At 39.1% G+C, this 17,792-nt stretch overlaps 4 annotated features.

The window, feature by feature from the left end:
* Positions 416 to 616: a silencer, noted in NCBI's record as "peak3673 fragment used in MPRA reporter construct". NCBI's record gives its function as "represses an SCP1 promoter by STARR-seq MPRAs in K562 erythroleukemia cells {active_cell/tissue: K562}" and the evidence as "EXISTENCE:reporter gene assay evidence [ECO:0000049][PMID:32103011]".
* Positions 3,863 to 5,062: an enhancer, noted in NCBI's record as "BRD4-independent group 4 enhancer chr2:41949350-41950549 (GRCh37/hg19 assembly coordinates)". NCBI's record gives its function as "activates an origin of replication core promoter dependent on BRD2, P300/CBP, MED14 and CDK7 cofactors, and independent of BRD4, by STARR-seq in HCT116 cells {active_cell/tissue: HCT116}" and the evidence as "EXISTENCE:reporter gene assay evidence [ECO:0000049][PMID:35650434]".
* Positions 11,334 to 11,443: an enhancer, noted in NCBI's record as "active region_15624". NCBI's record gives its function as "activates an Ori minimal core promoter by ATAC-STARR-seq in GM12878 lymphoblastoid cells {active_cell/tissue: GM12878}" and the evidence as "EXISTENCE:reporter gene assay evidence [ECO:0000049][PMID:35858748]".
* Positions 16,324 to 17,523: an enhancer, noted in NCBI's record as "P300/CBP strongly-dependent group 1 enhancer chr2:41936889-41938088 (GRCh37/hg19 assembly coordinates)". NCBI's record gives its function as "activates an origin of replication core promoter dependent on BRD2, BRD4, P300/CBP, MED14 and CDK7 cofactors, with strong dependence on P300/CBP, by STARR-seq in HCT116 cells {active_cell/tissue: HCT116}" and the evidence as "EXISTENCE:reporter gene assay evidence [ECO:0000049][PMID:35650434]".

Raw genomic sequence — 17,792 nt, 5'->3', positions numbered from 1 at the left:
ATGAAGTTGAGACCATATACATTTTGGAATCTGATCTCTGGGCTCTGTTTACCATGATTTGGGCCTTTCTTCAGAGAGAGTTGATAGCCAATGTGTTATTGAAGTCAGGAAGTAGTTAGAGGGAGGCAATTTCCAATTCGACTTGAAGAACTTTTGAATAAGCTGATTTCTGAGGCCATTAAGTTCCCTGTCATTGAAAGTGTTCAAGCTAAGACCAGATACTCTTTTATTTAGGGTATTGGAATCAGATTTCTGCATTGAAAGGACAATTAGAGTAGAAAACCACTGAGGTCCCTGTTCTATGGAAGATTAAACTCAGGGTATCTGTTTACTTTTTTTTTTTTTTTTTTTTTTTTTTTTTAAAGATAAAAGGCATTTCTTGGTGCCTAGCCCAGCACCCAAGACAGACGGGGCTTAGAGTGAGTGCTTGCTTTAGGGAGTACATTGTTGAACCTTAAATGTCTGGGCCTTCTGTTCCAAGCTCACTTCTCACTCAAGACTCCAGACATACAGAAGTGTTTTCACTCCCTTTACTAATTCCTATTCTCTCTCACTTCCTGGTCTTTGAACATGTGACTTCATGGTTAAGTTTTTTCCCCTGCTTTTTCATATGGCGAACTCTTAACTCCATTATCAGGATAGTCTGGCCTGGGTGTCCCCCGAGCGTGCTCCAAGGCACTCTGGGCATGCGTGTGTCTCAGAGGACTCATGACTCGTGGTGCTGTAACTGCTTCCTTGTCTCTCTCTCATATGAAGCATGGCTCTTCTAGGGTCTAGGGATAGTGGCTATTGCCTCTTCATTTCTCCCGGTTTCTACCACAGAGCCTGGCAACACTAGGGGCCTAATCTATGATTGTTAAATGAGTAAAATGAGCTGCAACTGAGGGCTTTAGGGCTTGCAGTCCTAACATGCATCTGTTCCCTGATTTATTTCTGTCCCTGACGCTTTCTGTACAGGACTGAATTATAAAAACCTTTCTAAGGAAAAATAAATTATGACATAAGAGAAATTGCCTTAGAGCATTGGAGACACCAAGTCAACCAGCGTTTCTTTCTCGGCTAGTGCTGGCAAATGACAGAGAAGTTAAGCTGACTTGGGCAATCCTTATCTACCTTTTACTATGATTTGGCAGAATTAAGTTATTCTCTATCTTGCCCTTTGGGGAATAGGTGGATAGTTTAAAATTTAAACCAGGGCCCTGTTTGGGATATCAGATCTGGATAAATTTTTCTCCAAACTGATAGTGGTAGCTGGAGGAATCATTCAGTGTGCACTGGAACTTTCTCTGGGTGCCTGTTTAATTAACAAAGTTTATTTTAAAGCTGTGCTTTCTGTTCTTTAATGCGTGCATGTCATTTCCTAACCAAATTTATGAAAATGGATTGGGATGGTGAGCATTTAAAGAACTTCAGGGAATAAGCCAGAAATGAAAGTTTGAAACAAGGGTAATTATTATTGCATGCATGTCGTGTTTAAAGTCTTGGCCTTCCTGGGAATAGGTTGACTTCACAGAATGCCTTATTAATTGAAGGGAAAACAAATCTGCTGTTGGAATAGTTCTTTCTTCTCCTTGGGTTCACCTTGGCAGAATCACTTCAGCTTTCTGGGACTCAGTTTCCTCAGCTGAAATATTAGGGGTCTGTCTTTGTCCATCTTTAGGATCTTTTCAGCTTTATATATCGTTAAATTGGGCACACATGTCTGCTTTTCCTTTTTATGAAGACCTGTACCAGAAAAGTAGCTTTGTGGCTGAATTGATTAACTTATTTAACATTATTTATTTATGCAATGAATGTTTATTGAATGCATCTTTACTGTGTGCAGGTCACTGAGTTTACACAAAGTCCCTGTCCTTATGAAGCTTATAGTCTACAGCAGGGGTTGGCAAAATTTTTCTGTAAAAATCCAGATAGTAAATACTTTTGGCTTTCCAGGCCGGTCTATCAAAACTACTACTCAACTCTGTCATTGCAGTGGGCAAGCAGCCACTGATAATGTGTAAATGAGTGAGTGTTAGTATTTAAGACAGCACTTTATTTACAAAAACAGGTGGTGGGCCTGCTTTGGCCAATGGGCTATAGTTTGCCGATCTCTAAGTAAGATGGTGAAGACATTCGATAAACATAAACAAATAGATACATAATCTTTAAGTGGAGATAAGTGCCAAATTCCCTGAGATATAAGATCAATGTGAGACACAACATCCACTAGCATATTTTAGGAAAATCTAAATTTATCTCTTTGTTACCAATGTAAAGACTGGAAAAAAAAGGCTGATCTGCTTTGTGGGTTTTTTGCTGTCGCTAAAAAACGACAGCAATTTGAGGATACTCCTTTGTGCAGAAGTGTACTTACGGATCTGTCCAGGAGACTTACGATTAGCAATGAAAATAATTCCACTACCCAGAGATGATTTTGCTGCTCTTGTTGCTGAAATAGTGACATTGCCTTTCTCTGCAGTCATTTTTGGTTCTTTTGTTTTTGTGGCAAGCTGGTCTGGTGCACAGGGAGGCTGGCTGAGTCCTTGGCCATAAATCCTCATGTGGTCTTTGCCCCATACCTTATCTGCATCAGGCCTGTTGGGCTGATTGAGAAAAAAAAAGACCCCATCGTTGACGTGTCTGGACAAAGAGCAAGTAACATTTTGACTCCCTGTGGAGTGAGACCTAGCAAGCAGATATATAATGATATTTTGCCCCAAGAAAATTCGTGGCAGGATTTTCTGATGCTTGTAAAAGCAGACAACTGGACTCTGTCACTATGTTCAGATGCATGTAATACACATTGAGTGCCCTTCCTTCCTCCTGAACAGTCAACAGCAGGTCACCTGAGGGTGCTAAACCGCTTAATTAAGAATCCTTAAGGGAAAAGAAATGGGTACTTATTGATTGTCTACTATGGAGCATTTTAGACACTTTATCTCACTTACTCTCTATAACTTACCCTGTTTGGTAGAAATTATTATACCATTTGACCCAGGAGGAAATTAAGGATAAGAGAAACTAAGTAGGTTAAGTCACTTGCTCCAAATCATATAACTAATAAATAACTAATCAGGGATTTAGCTGCAGCTCTGACTGCAGAGGTTCTTTCTACTATATGCTGCCTGAAAGAGTTTAATGAAAAATAGTCAAGCTATTTTGTCAGCAATTCAAAGAGAGAAATAGAGTTGAAACCTAGTACAAATTGGAATCCAGTATGAAGCCTTCCATTTATAGGCAGGGAGGCAAGGGCCCCATGTGGTGTTTCTCAGTCTTGGGGCCACATTGGAATCATTTGGGGTGCTTGAAAAATGCTCATGCTATGTCTCATTCCCAGTGATTCTGAATGAATTATCCTGGGGTGCAACGTAGCATAGGGATTTTTAAAAGCTGATCAGGTAATTCTAGTGTGCAGCCAGCCAAGGTTGAGATCAACTGGCCTAAGGAGCTTTTATGATGTCCTGATAAAGGGTTGATGTCCTCTTGCAAGTTCATCTGAATACGGTTAATGGAGGACTTGAAAAATACAGACAAATATTTCTGAGACAGGAAAGACATGATCCCTGGAGTTTCAGGTTACAGCAGCCTTTTGTCCAAATCACATTAACTTTCACGGCTTACTCTGAATGCTGATACTCATTTGATTCCCTTTCAGACCATCTTTCTTAGGGACTTAGAGTGTGATTTTAAAGCATTTTAAACTATGAATTTGGGATCTAGCATTTAGAACTTTGCTTTAGTAAGGAAGCATGATAATGATAATGATGGAATGTACAATTTCAGAAAGGCTGAGAATAAATAACACCAAGCTGGAAATTTTTCTTCTTAATTTTTATTTCTAGAAGAGTTCCTAATTTAGTGGAATGCAAGTGTGGATAAAGTCTCAGGGTAAGGGCATAGGGGGAAAATCTCATCTGAATTCAGGGTGCGTGAGAAAAGCCCGATACACTGATCTTCATTACATGGCTTTCTCTAGCTCTTTTTCACAAGCTCAGCTAGAAGAGACAACAGCAATGAAAACGAGCTGTCGTTGGATTAGTAGCAGTGGTGCTTTTCAGTAAGAGTGGATTTTAGAGAGCCAGTGGAGTGGCAGTTGACAGTTTATAAAGCATATTGACATACCTCCTATGGTAGAGCGATTGCAAAATGGCCCCAATTCTACACTCCTCCCTCTATACATGCCGTTTACAAGGTAATTTTGAAGTCAGTTTCCCTAGCCCTGGAATCTGGGCTGGCCTTGAGACTTATTTTAACAAACAGAATATAGTGTAAGTGATGTGCCAGTTTTGACCCTAGAACTCAAGAGAACTTGCATTCTTTCCTCTCTTACAAGCCTTGCCTGTGTTACAGGAACAAGTCTAGGCTTGCTTGTTAGAGATGAGAGGCCATGTGAAACATAGCCAGTCATTCCAGCAAGGCCATCCTAGGTCAGCCAATATCCAGCTGACCACCAGACTCATGCTCAGACCATTAGAACCACCCCATCAAGTCCTGCCAAGATCAACAGACTGCCTAGCCTTCTCACAGACTGTGGAGAAATAGCAAATAAGAGTTGTTTTATGCCATTAAGTTATTGTGGCAAAAGACAATTAATACACATCCTCATGTGACTATAGAAGTAATTATAATAATTCCTTTCTAGATGAAGAGACTGATGTTCTGAGAGGTTACATTTAGGAGCTATCCCACCATTGTGGAAAGGAGGGATGCTTTCAAATCATGTACGTACTTTCAAACCAGGGAAACCCCTCATTCTGAGATCTCCTAGTTGTAAAACCCAGGGCTGATTATTTGTTTTTTGAATCTGTTTCTCCATCCATAAAGTGGGGTAATAGGATCTTACTTTTAAAGTTGCTATGAGGATTGTGTAAAGGAATGAGTTCATGGTAAACACTGTATAAATCGTAGCTCTGATAATGATGTTGATGGTGATGAGCATTGCTTGATTACACAGCCAGGAGGTGTCAGGGACAGGAATTCAGGCCTTTTAATTCCCAAATTCATCAGACTTCTATATTTTCTTTTTCCTTTGTTTCTCTCCATTTCCTTTTCCCTTTGCTTTCCATTTCCCTGTTTTCTTTACGCACCTCCTCTGATGTGTTTTAATAATTTATTTTATATTTTCAAGCCAGTATCAGCTGTAATTGAAAAAAACTTTACTTTGAACTAGAGTGGATTGAAGATCTTCCACTGGCAACAGGAACTTTTCTGGTTCAAGGTTTGTCAGGAAGAAAGAAGGGAGTGCCTACCATACAGGCAATCAATAATGTCTGCTACCTTACAGCCACCCTACAAAACAGAGAGTATCCTGTTTTGAGTATCCATAGACACCTTAGTTATGAGAATTGAAGAAAACTCACTGAACATAGGAATCTGAGCAGCTGAGTTAAGGAAACACCAAATACACAAGAGAAGTAAGAAGTATATAATAAGCACTATGACCTCCTGAAAAGTTCCACAAATAAGGGCCATAGGATAGTTTACATTTATTTTCTTAATAAAACTTTAATAAAATTTTAATATTTATTTGTTTATGTTTCAGACAGAGTCTCCCTCTATTGCCCAGGCTGGAGTGCAGTGGCATGATCTCAGCTCACTGCAATCTCCACCTCCCGGGTTCAAGTGATTCTTGTGCCTCAGCCTCCCGAGTGTCTGGGATTACAGGTGCCTGCCTCCACACCCAGCTAATTTTTGCATTTTTAGTAGAGATGGGGTTTCATCGTGTTGGCCAGGTTGGTCTCAAACTCCTGGCCTCAAGTGATCTGCCTGCCTTGGCCTCCCAAAGTGCTGGGATTACAGGCATGAGCCACCATGCTCATCCTTAAATTTTAATATTTATAAAACAAACCAGTAACCCTGTTTGTCCTTGAAGCACTTTCTACTCATCTTGCATAAAGATTATTCACCCTCAATGATAATTTTTATTATGCTTATTATTCTTGTCCAGCCCCCAATCGCCCACATCTGTGTATTTGAGAACACAGTTTTATTCTTTCTCTTCTACTTTATTGCAATAAGATTAACTCCTCGGGGTAAACATTTTAGTCCTCGTTTTACACATTTTGTTCATTTGTTTATTATTTCTCCACATTCCGATGATTTTTCTTCACAAACTCCCAGGGACCAGTGGATGCGGATGTTTTGCAGCACAGAGCTCAGATGTGTGGGTGTTCAGCAAACACCGCTAACTTTGTAGATAACTACAGGAGCAGGAGCTATGGAGAAGAAAAACAGTGCATCTCCAGATCCCACTGCCTAAGATTCTGGAGAGAAAGGAAATGTATATCAAGATAATTTGTGGAAACAATTACTCAGTACTGCTGCTTTCATCAAAATGTCTTCTAACCAAAATTTGGAAGCCACTATTAATCAAGTTGCCTTGGGAAAGATCACTACGTCCCTCAGGATCCTGCTTTTAGCACCAAAAAGCAGATGTTTTGCTAGATAAGAAACAAGCATTTTAAACTGCAACATGCAGAGTATAGTCAGCAAGAAACATTAAGTTTGAGAGTCATGGTTATGTTTTGTCCTCCTGGAATTATTAACTCCAATAATGCTAACAAGATGTAGTCCCTAGCCTTCTGAGGCTGCTGGTCCTTTTATTTCAGATCAAGCTTTTCTATTATTTCTAGTTTTAACCTGGTTTAATCATTAAAAACCTGATGATTCAATCTATCGTACTCTAGGTATAATTATATACACAGGTTTAAAAAAATCAGTAATTTTGCAAGTTTAAGCATAATTTAAAAAACCATGCCTTCAGAACTATAGCTCACCACACTTGTACTTTCAGTTTTCATTTCCATGTCTCTCTATAACTAACCTTCTACTTCCCCTTGGGTGGCAAAATAGAATGTTATTTTGAGTTGAAAATAACTTAAATGGAATATTCTGGATTTGTTTATTTACAAGAAAGTGGTAGCTGGTCAAACAATCTGAAGAAAGAGAAACAAAACACTCATTTAATTTGTAGTTTATAATCAAGTTTTGATTTGTTTGTTTTGTGCTTTTCCTACGTAATTGTTGAACCAAGGATACTGATGGTGCAGAGCTGGAGGTATGGCTTGGTAAATAAGCACCCTTAATTTTCTTTTTTTTTTTTTTTACAGCAGATAAATTTAAATGCACGGAGCCTTGAAATCTGAGCATTGAATGGTACTCTGGGTATCATTTAACCTTCACACACCATAATGAGGCCCTTTATAGCGTTCTATCAGACAGTCACGCTCTCTCGATTTGGACGCTTCTGGTGAGGGGGGACGCATTACTTGAAGAGGCAGCATGCCCATTATGGCATTGCACATTTTATTATAAAAGTTGTAATTAACTACTGAATTCCATTCTTCACAGTGCAGTGTTATAGTGTGGGCAAAGGCACTGACGTGATCTGAAAGTAGGCCCCAGGGTAGAAATTAGAAGCTCTTTTGTGCATACCATGCACAGTCTTGTTGTTGGTACCAGGTTGTGCTGCCTCTGCTTTCTGCTAAGTGAATCCAGGGATATGATAGATTTGAGGAAATGGTCAGCATATATTTTAGTTTTTTTCCTAGATGTTCCAATTGGCCTTGGACTTGGCTGCAGCAGCATAGGTGAACATTGAGGATGCTGTTCCCTAAATTTAACTATAGAATGGGAGTTGTGGATAGGGGTGGGGACTGTCTGTCTGTGGTTGGACTTGACTTGGTACTAGGTAAGTTTAGTGTGTCCAGAACCTTATCTTCATCAGCTTTTTTTCTTTTTTTTGAGATAGGGTCTCGCTCTTCTGTCCAGGCTGGAGTACAGTGGCACATTCTTGGCTCACTGAAACCTCCACCCCCAGGGCTCAAGCCATACTCCCACCTCAGCCCACCAAGTAGCTGGGACTACAGGTATGTGTCACCATGCCCAATAATTTTTGAATTTTTTGTAGAGACAGGTTCTCACCATGTTGCCCGGGCTGGTCTCAAGTGACTGAGCTCAAGTGATCTGCCTGTCTTGGCCTCCCAAAGTGCTGGGATTACAGGTGTGAGCCACTGTGCCTGGCCTTCATCGGCTTTTAAAAAACTGCTTCCTGAGATGAGTTGAACCATAGATTGAGAGGTTTACTTTTCTCTCAGAATGTCATTAGCAAAGACTTTTCTTTTGTGCCATTGTCCCTGAGTTTTCTTCATAAGGTTAAAATAAACTATACACAGACAAATGGATTGTGGGATGAAACATTGAACTACTTTTATAAGTAATAAAAGGGAATCTGAGCACTTTACTATTGTGTAAATTCTATTAATTTAGTTTTTGTGTTAGAAACTTGCTAGATATTAATAAATTCCATTTCCTTTTCCTGGGCAAGAGGAAGACTGCAGTTCTCATTCTTTGCAGTTGGTTTGAGGCCATGTCACAAAACCCATTGTGCAATCTTTCACACTTGCTTTCCCTTTGTGTTGATGACGACAATGTCAAAAGATGCATGGAGACTTAATCCTTGGGTCATTTAAAATTCTTAATTATTCCATAATTATTTTTGTCATCAAAACCATTATAATTTAAGCAATTAAAAAATTCTCCATATTTCTTCACCTTATTAGTTATTTTAATTCTGTATGTGAAAGATGAAATAAGAAACATGGTAAGTTGGCAATTTTAAAATAATGACATAATTCTAAAGGAAATTACTTTAGACATGAGATAGAGGATAAGGGAGAAAGACTTAAAAATTTAATATTCAGAGGTTGGACAAATGAAACACTGACAAATAACCTTTCAAAGCTCATCTCAATGTGAATGTTTCTGAAACTTGATTATATGCCCCCATGTTAAAATCAATGCTTTTTTCAAATGCTACAACAAATGACTCCTGAAGGGTCCAGTTTGCTTTTCAATACAGCTTAAAATCAACGGGAAAATATTAGTGCAGTAAAGCATGTAGTATTGTAATAGAATTTTTCTCTCCATTTACCTCAGTGGCAATGCTTCAACAGAGTTGTATGAGCAGTCGTGATATGCAATATATTATTTTTATAAATCTTAATAAAAATACACTTTTTTATCAGCTTTTTCAAGATTGATATACTCTGGTCAATATGACACAAATCTTGTTGAAAAATTACAGGTAAAACACAAGATAAGCATGCAATCAATTTAAAGCACAGTTTGTCCTGGTGAACAGTTTGTAATGACTAATCTGTAGGAACCTTGATTACTCAGTTGAATTGAGGTACTAGCCTGGCATGGTACCAGGCTTCCTGTTCATGCATGTCCATCCACCCACCCAGTTGCTGCCTCTACTTCATAATACGCTCTCCCACATCTCTGCTTTAGCCTCACACTTTGAATATTCTTATTTTTGTGGATGCAACTGCTTTTTGTGTGAGCATATCTACAGCTTCATTAACCTTTATTCCTTTGAAACTCAGGTTCCTCCTTAGGTTTAATTTATGTCTTTCTGCTTTTGAATTTTCAAAGATGGGCTTGAATAACAATGGGAGCATTTGGGAAAATCTAATAATTATCCCAGCTTGGCCACTACCAAATTGCATAATTGCAAGCAAATTATCCTACGTTGCTGAATCTCTAACTTACTGTCAGGAACTGATGACAATTAACCACTATTTAACTCGAAATAGATGATTCATTTCGATATTTGTCCTTTAAAATGCTAGAAAAACCTATTATGGCTGATAAGAGGGCTATAAAAAACAGTGTGGCGTGGAGCTTTGCATCAGAAAAGCTGTGTGCATCTAGGCTCTGCCATTTATTGACATAAAATCTGAGACAAGTAGTTTCATCTCTGCATTTGTTTCTTCAAATATGGACTGGGGTAATTTTACTAATCACAGGGATGTTTTGCGAATGAGATGGGGTCATGTAAACAAGTGCCTAGCACAGTACTGCTCTGTAGAAAGGGCTCAGTAAAAACTTAAGTTGGAAAACATTAGGTACGAAACCCAAGTTCCCCTGCAAAGGGCATACAGCAGTGAAAAATGACAGTCCTATAAGTGTCAGCTGTCTGTTTGTTGATCCAGGGTAATTCAAAATTTATTCTGAATAATGAATTCTGATTTAATAATTCCTATTTTTTACTACTTTTTGTTTTAGAGATAGGGTCTCAGTGGCACAATCCTAGCTCACTGCAGCCTTGAACTCCTGGGCTCAAGCATCCTCCCACTGTAGCCTCCTGAGTAGCTGGGACTACAGGTGCACATCACCATGCCCAGCTAATTTTTATTTTTGTAGAGACAGGGTTTCGCTATGTTGCCCAGGGTGGTCTTGAACTCCTGGCCTCAAGTGATTATCCCACTTTGGCCTCCCAAAACTCTGGGATTACAGACATGAGCCACTGTGCCTGGCTTAATGCTTGTTATTTAATTAACTTTGAAAGTAAAGAAGGAAAAAAGGGGAGGGTTTTTAAAAAAAATTTACTTATTTTACTAATTACTTATAGTTCTGAAAGAAAACCAGTCAGTAAATCAAAAGTCCTGCCAATTCACTCCTTGCTCCAAACCTGCTAGAGTCCGTGGTATTTGGAATAAAATCTAGTCCTCACCAGGGCCCACAGAGCCCTCCCTCAGTTGCAGGCTGCCTCTGTGCCTCTCTGGCTCCGCTCTGCTCCTCACCTGCTCTTCTCAGCCCCACCTGCCTTCGTGCAGCTTTTGTATACTCTGAGTCCGTTCCCATCTGAAGCCCTGTGACACTGCCACCCTTTACTTGGAATGTTACTTACCTTCCTTACAGGTTTTTGCGTAGCTAGGTCCTTTCCATTCAGTGTCCCCTCCAATCACACTTTCTCAGTAAGAAATCTCTAAAATAGACACCTCTGCCCCTCACCCCGTCACCCTCTCTCTCATTAATCTACATATTTTTCTGATGAAATTATAAAAATATAAAAAGCATGTATTACTTAAAGTTATGTATATATTTGTTTACTTTTTATCTGTCTCTCCCACTAAAGGTAAGTTCTAAGAGAGCAGATGATGTCTTGTTCATTGCCATCCCTTGTCAAAGAGGAAAATACATGTTATTACATAATATATCTAATAACTACACACTATGTATTATAAATCAAGAAATATTACCTGGAGTACCGCTCCCTGGATCAGTGCTCAGCACCCGTAGGCATTCATAAATTTTTACTGCACGAATGCATTTTCTGTGTGGATTGACCTTCTTACTATTTTAGACATTGGGATACAGTGTTTAACATGTGAGAAAACAGTAAAAGGTCCAAATGTTAGGGACTCAGAGCTCTCTGCAACTGAGAGCTTGCTTAAGAAAATACTTTTAGGAGCATTGGTTTCCTTTTGGAAAAACAGGAAAAAGAGAAAGAGGTTATAGGAGGAAGATGTTGACTCAGGACCCCAGAATTGCTTTGGATGCCAAGGACCTTCTAGAAATTGGAAATGACATGATTTCTAGGACAATGTGGAAGATGTGACTATTGGGCCGTGGGGTGGAGAGAAAGGTCATTATAAGAGTCAGGACTGGAGACCAAGGCTGGGCCTGACAAAGATGAAACTGAAACTGAAATGAGACTGGGTGACTCTGTGTGTGTGGTTTTTTTTTTTTTTTTTTTTTTTTGAGACAGAGTGTCGCTCTGTCGCCCAGGCTGGAGTGCAGTGGCGGGATCTCGGCTCACTGCAAGCTCCGCCTCCCAGGTTCACGCCATTCTACTGCCTCAGCCTCCCGAGTAGCTGGGACTACAGGCGCCCGCCACTACGCCCGGCTAATTTTTTGTATTTTTAGTACAGACGGGGTTTCACCGTTTTAGCCGGGATGGTCTTGATCTCCTGACCTCGTGATCCGCCCGCCTCGGCCTCCCAAAGTGCTGGGATTACAGGTGTGAGCCACTGCACCTGGCCTGGGTGACTGTGTTTTGTTCGTGAAAGCTACTGACATGGGCCAGCCCACAAGGACGCTGAATGCTGCCAGGCTGACCTACAGGGTGGCCTCTGTGATTCTGTCCTGCACGTGGATGATGTCCATCACAGCCATATTCCCTCCCACCCCGTCTCCTGCCCTCTCATCACAATTATTATTATTATTATTTTTACCTTTATGGCCTTATTTGCTTTCTACATTTATGACATTTTAATCTTTTTAAATTTGCAAAGAAAGGTATGCTTAAGATAATGATTCAAATATTACAGAAGGGTTTCTGAGAAAAGCAACTGGCTCCAGTCCCGTGTAGCTTCTTCCCTCAGTTCTGGTTCCTGGAGGCCACTTCTTGTAACTACTTGTATTTTTAGTGCTGATGTTTAGTGCCAAAACTCTAGATTAGTCCTGTCCAATGGAAATCTAATGTGAGCCATATATACCATTTTAAATTACAGGCACACCAAAAAAGTAAAAGTACACATATAAAACGAATTTTAATAATATATTTAATTTAACCTAGTATATCCAATATATTATTTCAACACATAATATAAAGATTATTAATGAGATAGTTTTCATTTTTATGTTGTTTTTGAAATTGGTTGTATATTTTAAACTTGCAGCAGATGACAATTTAAGTGCCCAACACCCACATGTGATTGGTGGCCACTATATTGCACAGTGGCCCTCCAGGTAATATTTCTTGATTTATAATATATAGTGTGTAGTTATTTAGATATATATTATGTAATAACATGTATTTCGTCTTTGATAGGAAAAAAAGGTTGCTTACACACAGCTCTCTCCTCATGTTTTCTTTCTAATGCTTTTAGATATATACATGTATTTGTATTATACATAATTTATACTTATAATTTTAGTTCTTTTATTGGCTACTTTTATAACTTTATTTTTATTTATTTATTTATTTATTTATTTTTTTGAGGCGGAGTTTGACTCTTGTTGCCCAGGCTGGAGTGCAATGGCGTGATCTTGGCTTACTACAACCTCTGCCTCCAGATTCAAGAGATTCTCCTGTCTCAGCCTCCCAAGTAGCTGGGATTACAGGTGCCTGCCACAAAGCCTGGGTAATTTTTTGTATTTTTAGTAGAGACTGGGTTTCACCATGTTGGCCAGGCTGGTCTCGAACTCCTGACATCAGGTGATCCGCATGCCTCTGCCTCCCAAAGTGCTGGTATTACAGGTGCGAGCCACTGCACCCAGCCAGTTACTTTTATAACTTTAAATAATGTCCTTGAAGCTTTGTTTCTGGTTCTTTAGCTTCAATAATATCTCAATTATATGTCTTAACCCCTCATTTTAGGATGTTACCATTCCTACCACATTCTATACATTTCCTTCCTCTGTCTAAGTTCCATCTTCCATCAGCTCTGATTATATTGGACTCCAGTTGTAAATATTTATATTTGATTCTGCAACCATGTGTTTTAGCCTTTCTAAAAAATTAAATGTACATGGAGTGAGAGAACCTCTGTGTATTAATTTTGATTAATACAGATGGCAATCCAGACAACCATAACTTGATCTACACAGAGCTCAAGTCTAAACAGAGAAGGACTTCCCTTTCTACCAACCAGTAGATTATGTGGTCATGGTTTTTGATAATGGAATGAAATACCAGATACTAATTTGAACTGGGGCTTTTATTATTTTATGAGTCCATTCCTGGAGATTAAATATAGTAAGGAAGTAGATTCACATTTGATGTGTAAATGATTTTTCCTCCTTCTGAAAAGCTAACTCTTACGGATCAGGATTATTGTTCTGCAGAGATCAAATGCTGAGACCCCAGAATCAAAGGAAACACAGGGTCAGAGAGGTCATGTGAATTTTAGTGGCACTGGGGCTGACGTTCACAGAGAAGTGTATTTGCAGTTATTTTTGTTTTCTAAATCAGAATTTGGTGTATTAAAATTACCAACTAAAAATATTTTCAATTGAACAATGATTACTCAACTCATAATTACTATTTATAAATCCAGTAAATGTTACCAATCACTTTAAAAGAGTTTATTAATTAACTTGATTAATTTTGCTCCCTTAAACATTTTAAACTTTAATGGACTTGCTTTTCTGAAGAGCCAAACACTTAACAAGTTATTCATCTGTAAGTACCTAAAATGCTCTAGTTAATTTAGTACGTTTATAAATATTGTAAATCTCAAGTTCTTTGATATATTCTAATAGTATATACAAACATAAGCAAATCATTTATATCTTTTAACTTAAAATCATATCTAAAAATCAATTATTTATATATAAATTGGGATGATCAGACTAATCTGCCAGATGCTTTGATGTATCAGATTCCTTAAGCCACTTAAAAATATTGATACCATGGATTTATTTATTTTATCACCTCTATTTATCTCCCAATATTCTTGGCATTAAAAGGCCTTCACCCACTGAGGACAGGGTTACCATCCTGAGTGAATTAGGGTTACTTTTCAACTGGCTGAGAGGGCTAATTGACCAGAGATTTGGGGTTGGGGCAAGAGTAGGAGCTGCAGACGTTAAGGGAGGTTTATCTTTACGGCTGTGTTGAAATGATAATATGTTGGATATACTAGATTAAATAAAATATATGATTAAATATATTATTTGCCCAAGGATCTGATATGTAAATTCCAATTGTTTTGCAACCTAGGTCCCAGGAGTTCAAATTAAGGCCTTCTTAATTCTTGTGTGACGTATTGCACCTTTATTGCTTGATCTTGGTAAATAAAATTCTGTAACTCCTACCCAAGTTGTTTTATGATGAGATGGTAGTCAGTGAACTAATTTAAGGTTAGAGTCCATCCTTAATTCTTTTTCTCCTCTTCTCTTACTGACAGGGCTGGGACTTACATGTATTTGAATGAATTCTATATATTTCCCCTCTTTTCCTGACTCTTCAGTGACAATCCTAAGACCATGCTAATAACAGAAGACAGTAATCCCTTTTCTTAGCCAAACAATTTGGAAGCCATGATTTTCTTTGCATATCATGAAAGTGACCATGGTGTTGGATATTGTGGTAGAACTTTCAAGTAAAAAAGAACTGTCATTCAACTGAATTGGAAGCCTCCAAGACTGCTGAGCACCCCATGTCTTCGAGTGCACCGAGGCTGGAGGAATGCTACAGAGGGAAACTTGCTTTGGAAGAAGGTGGTCTTCATAGCTTCCAATGTCTCCTATGCTCCCATAAATAAGAGCAGAAAACAGAGACTATAAAACTTTTGGGTCTCTGATTTTTCAGACTCTTTTCTTATTAATTCCAGCATATGCACCTACTGATGATGACTTCCTGAGTGACTGATGTGTGCCAGGTCCTGTAGTTGTTATAGTTAAAGAGAATAAAAGATCCTTCCATTGCTATGGTGATATTTTTGCCACTAACCAGTTACTCATCACTCCCAGTTGGAACATAGCTAATATCATAGGTCAGTATCTGAAGTGTTCCTTGTGTCATACTTCTCCAGGGGACAGAATTGCAGGACTCTGAAATTCTTTCTGCTGACCTTTGCGCCTTTTCTGACTGCAGTGTGCAACCATGTGTGTCTTCTCTGTACTTGCGTGGGTAAGACCAGTTGGGCTTGCTGTCCAGGCAGCTTGTAAATAGACTAGGAGTCTACTCAGAAAGCTGATCATTCTAGATTTCAGAGAATCAGGAGGAGGAAGCCTAGCTTGAACTCATGGCCTCATTTTCCAATTCAAGAGTTGGGTTTTGGGCATTTGCCCAACTATTGATAAAATTAGTACTTATTTCTCATTTGACTATTGATTTTTTTGTGGGTATGTTTCTTTTGGTTGAGAATCAATAGTTATAGATGAAGAATGGGGAGGATGTAAAATCCGGTTCTCAGCTCTGATAGGTTTCCATATGTAGAAAGATTAAGTAACTTGTCTTAGTCACATAACTAGTAAGCGGTCCAACTGGGGTTTGCACATAGGTCTGTCTCTAAAACCAGAATGATTCCACATTGCCTCCCTACTTCTGAACCAGTACAAGCTTTGAGCAGGGGAGTGATCATGACCACCACATGTGGCTGCTGCATCTCAGGGGGTGCCAGTTGCAGTGTAGACATACGCTAACTCAGTGGTTCACACACTTTTTGATATCAAGACTCCTTTACATTCCTAGAAATGATTGAGGATTTCCAAGAGCTTTTGTTTAGATAGGTTATATCTTTTGCTATTTACTGTATTAGAATTAACACTGAAAATTTTATAACATAGGAGCATGCATTCCATTAGCCCTTAGAGTGATGAGGTCATCGCACATTGTGTAACATCAAAAAATTTTTACTGTACACTCAGGAGAGACAGTGGAAAAACATGTCTAAATATTCTGAAAATAGTTTTGACCTTGAGGTATCTTAAAAGCACAATGGAGAATCGCTAAGGCCCCTTACCACATTTTGAGAGCCACTGTAGTAACTGATTCAAGAGCAGGTGAGCAGGGGTGAAGATTCAGGGGTTTCAGGCGAGTACTACAGTTGCAGGAGAGACTCTCCCAATAGAAGCCCTCACACACCCACTCACATGCCCAGTACTCCCAGTACTGCCAGTGCTCTGCATTCCCTGAGGTTGCTCTTTCTGCTGCTGTTGGTGGTCTAATTTCCACCCCTACCCCACTGTGAATCTCCCATGGCATCTCACCTTGGGGTTGGAGTGTGTGTGTGTGTGTGTGTTTGTGTGTTTGTGTGTGTGCATGCACATGCATAAAGACATCTTCTGTGCATGCCACCAGCGATGTTTGCTTCTAAGCGTGCTAAGGATGTGTGACTAGGTGAGAAAGGCAGGGCTGTTCAAGTTGTGCATTCATACACTAACTCATACACACACATATACATGGATGTGTATTTTTTCCTTTTAGCTTGAGAAGGAGGTGCCATTTTTCTAATTTGCTCAAAAGTGTTGTATGTGTCAGTGGCATCTCTGAAGTAATGTGATTGGTCACACTCTTTTGAAAGACTGCTCTGGCAGAAGTGTGTGACGAATGGTTTGAAAAGGGGAGACTCCAAACTCCACAGGCTAGCGCCGAGCAGGTGAGTTAAAAGGAATCTGGCTCAGAAAAATTAAATTAGTTAGGATGATTCACTTTTATAAAATGGGCTGTATTGCTAAATATTTCCTACAGGTTAGTCACATTGCTAAACTAATATGGAATGTAAAGTTGGGAATTCCCTAACAATTCTGAGTTCCGTTTTTCAACCTTAAATTTGCATTACCCTTTAGCTTTTTCATTTAACTACATGTATAATTTATTACCAACATTTTCCCCATGGCTAACCTATTTGCTGTTGGCCCTAAGGGACTTTTTGTGCTTTAGGTCTACTCTTGAATCTTAAAGACATTTTGCTTGTTTCGGTGTCCTGCTCAAAGGAAAACATGCCACAGCATTGCCACCACTTATCTCCAGTGACCTTCAAGGGCTCGGTGATTGATCTCGGATAAATGAAAATGGAGAGCGAGCTGCATATTCCTCACGATAAGAGGCTTGTTTGCATTGCATGCTTGGCTTTGTAGGGTACCTTGTGTGCGCTCTCTGCCATCCTTCCTGTGTCAAGCTGCTGTCCACTGCAGCTAGGTTTTAAGGAACCCTTGTGAGAAAAAGCCAAAGTAGAAAACCTGTAAAATACAGGGAGCATGCCATTTTAAACAATTAAATGACATTTAAAAATCTCTGCTCCTTTTCTAGGCTTATAAAAGTGGAAGCCTATCAAAAAGTTTACCTTTATTGTGCAAAGAGAAAAATGTGCTTTGCTAGCAAAAGAAACTATCAGCAGAGTAAACAGAAAACCTAAGAATGGGAGAAAATATTTGCAAACTGTGCATCTGATAAAGGTCTAATATCCAGCATCTATAAGGAGCTTAAACAAATTTTCAAGAAAAATACAAACAACCCGATTAAAAAGTGGACAAAGGACACAGGCACTTTTCAAAAAAAGACATACAAG

The sequence above is a fragment of the Homo sapiens genome, chromosome 2 (assembly GCF_000001405.40).
Source record: "Homo sapiens chromosome 2, GRCh38.p14 Primary Assembly".
NCBI lineage: Eukaryota > Metazoa > Chordata > Mammalia > Primates > Hominidae > Homo > Homo sapiens.
This window is presented reverse-complemented; position numbering and strand designations above follow the sequence as displayed.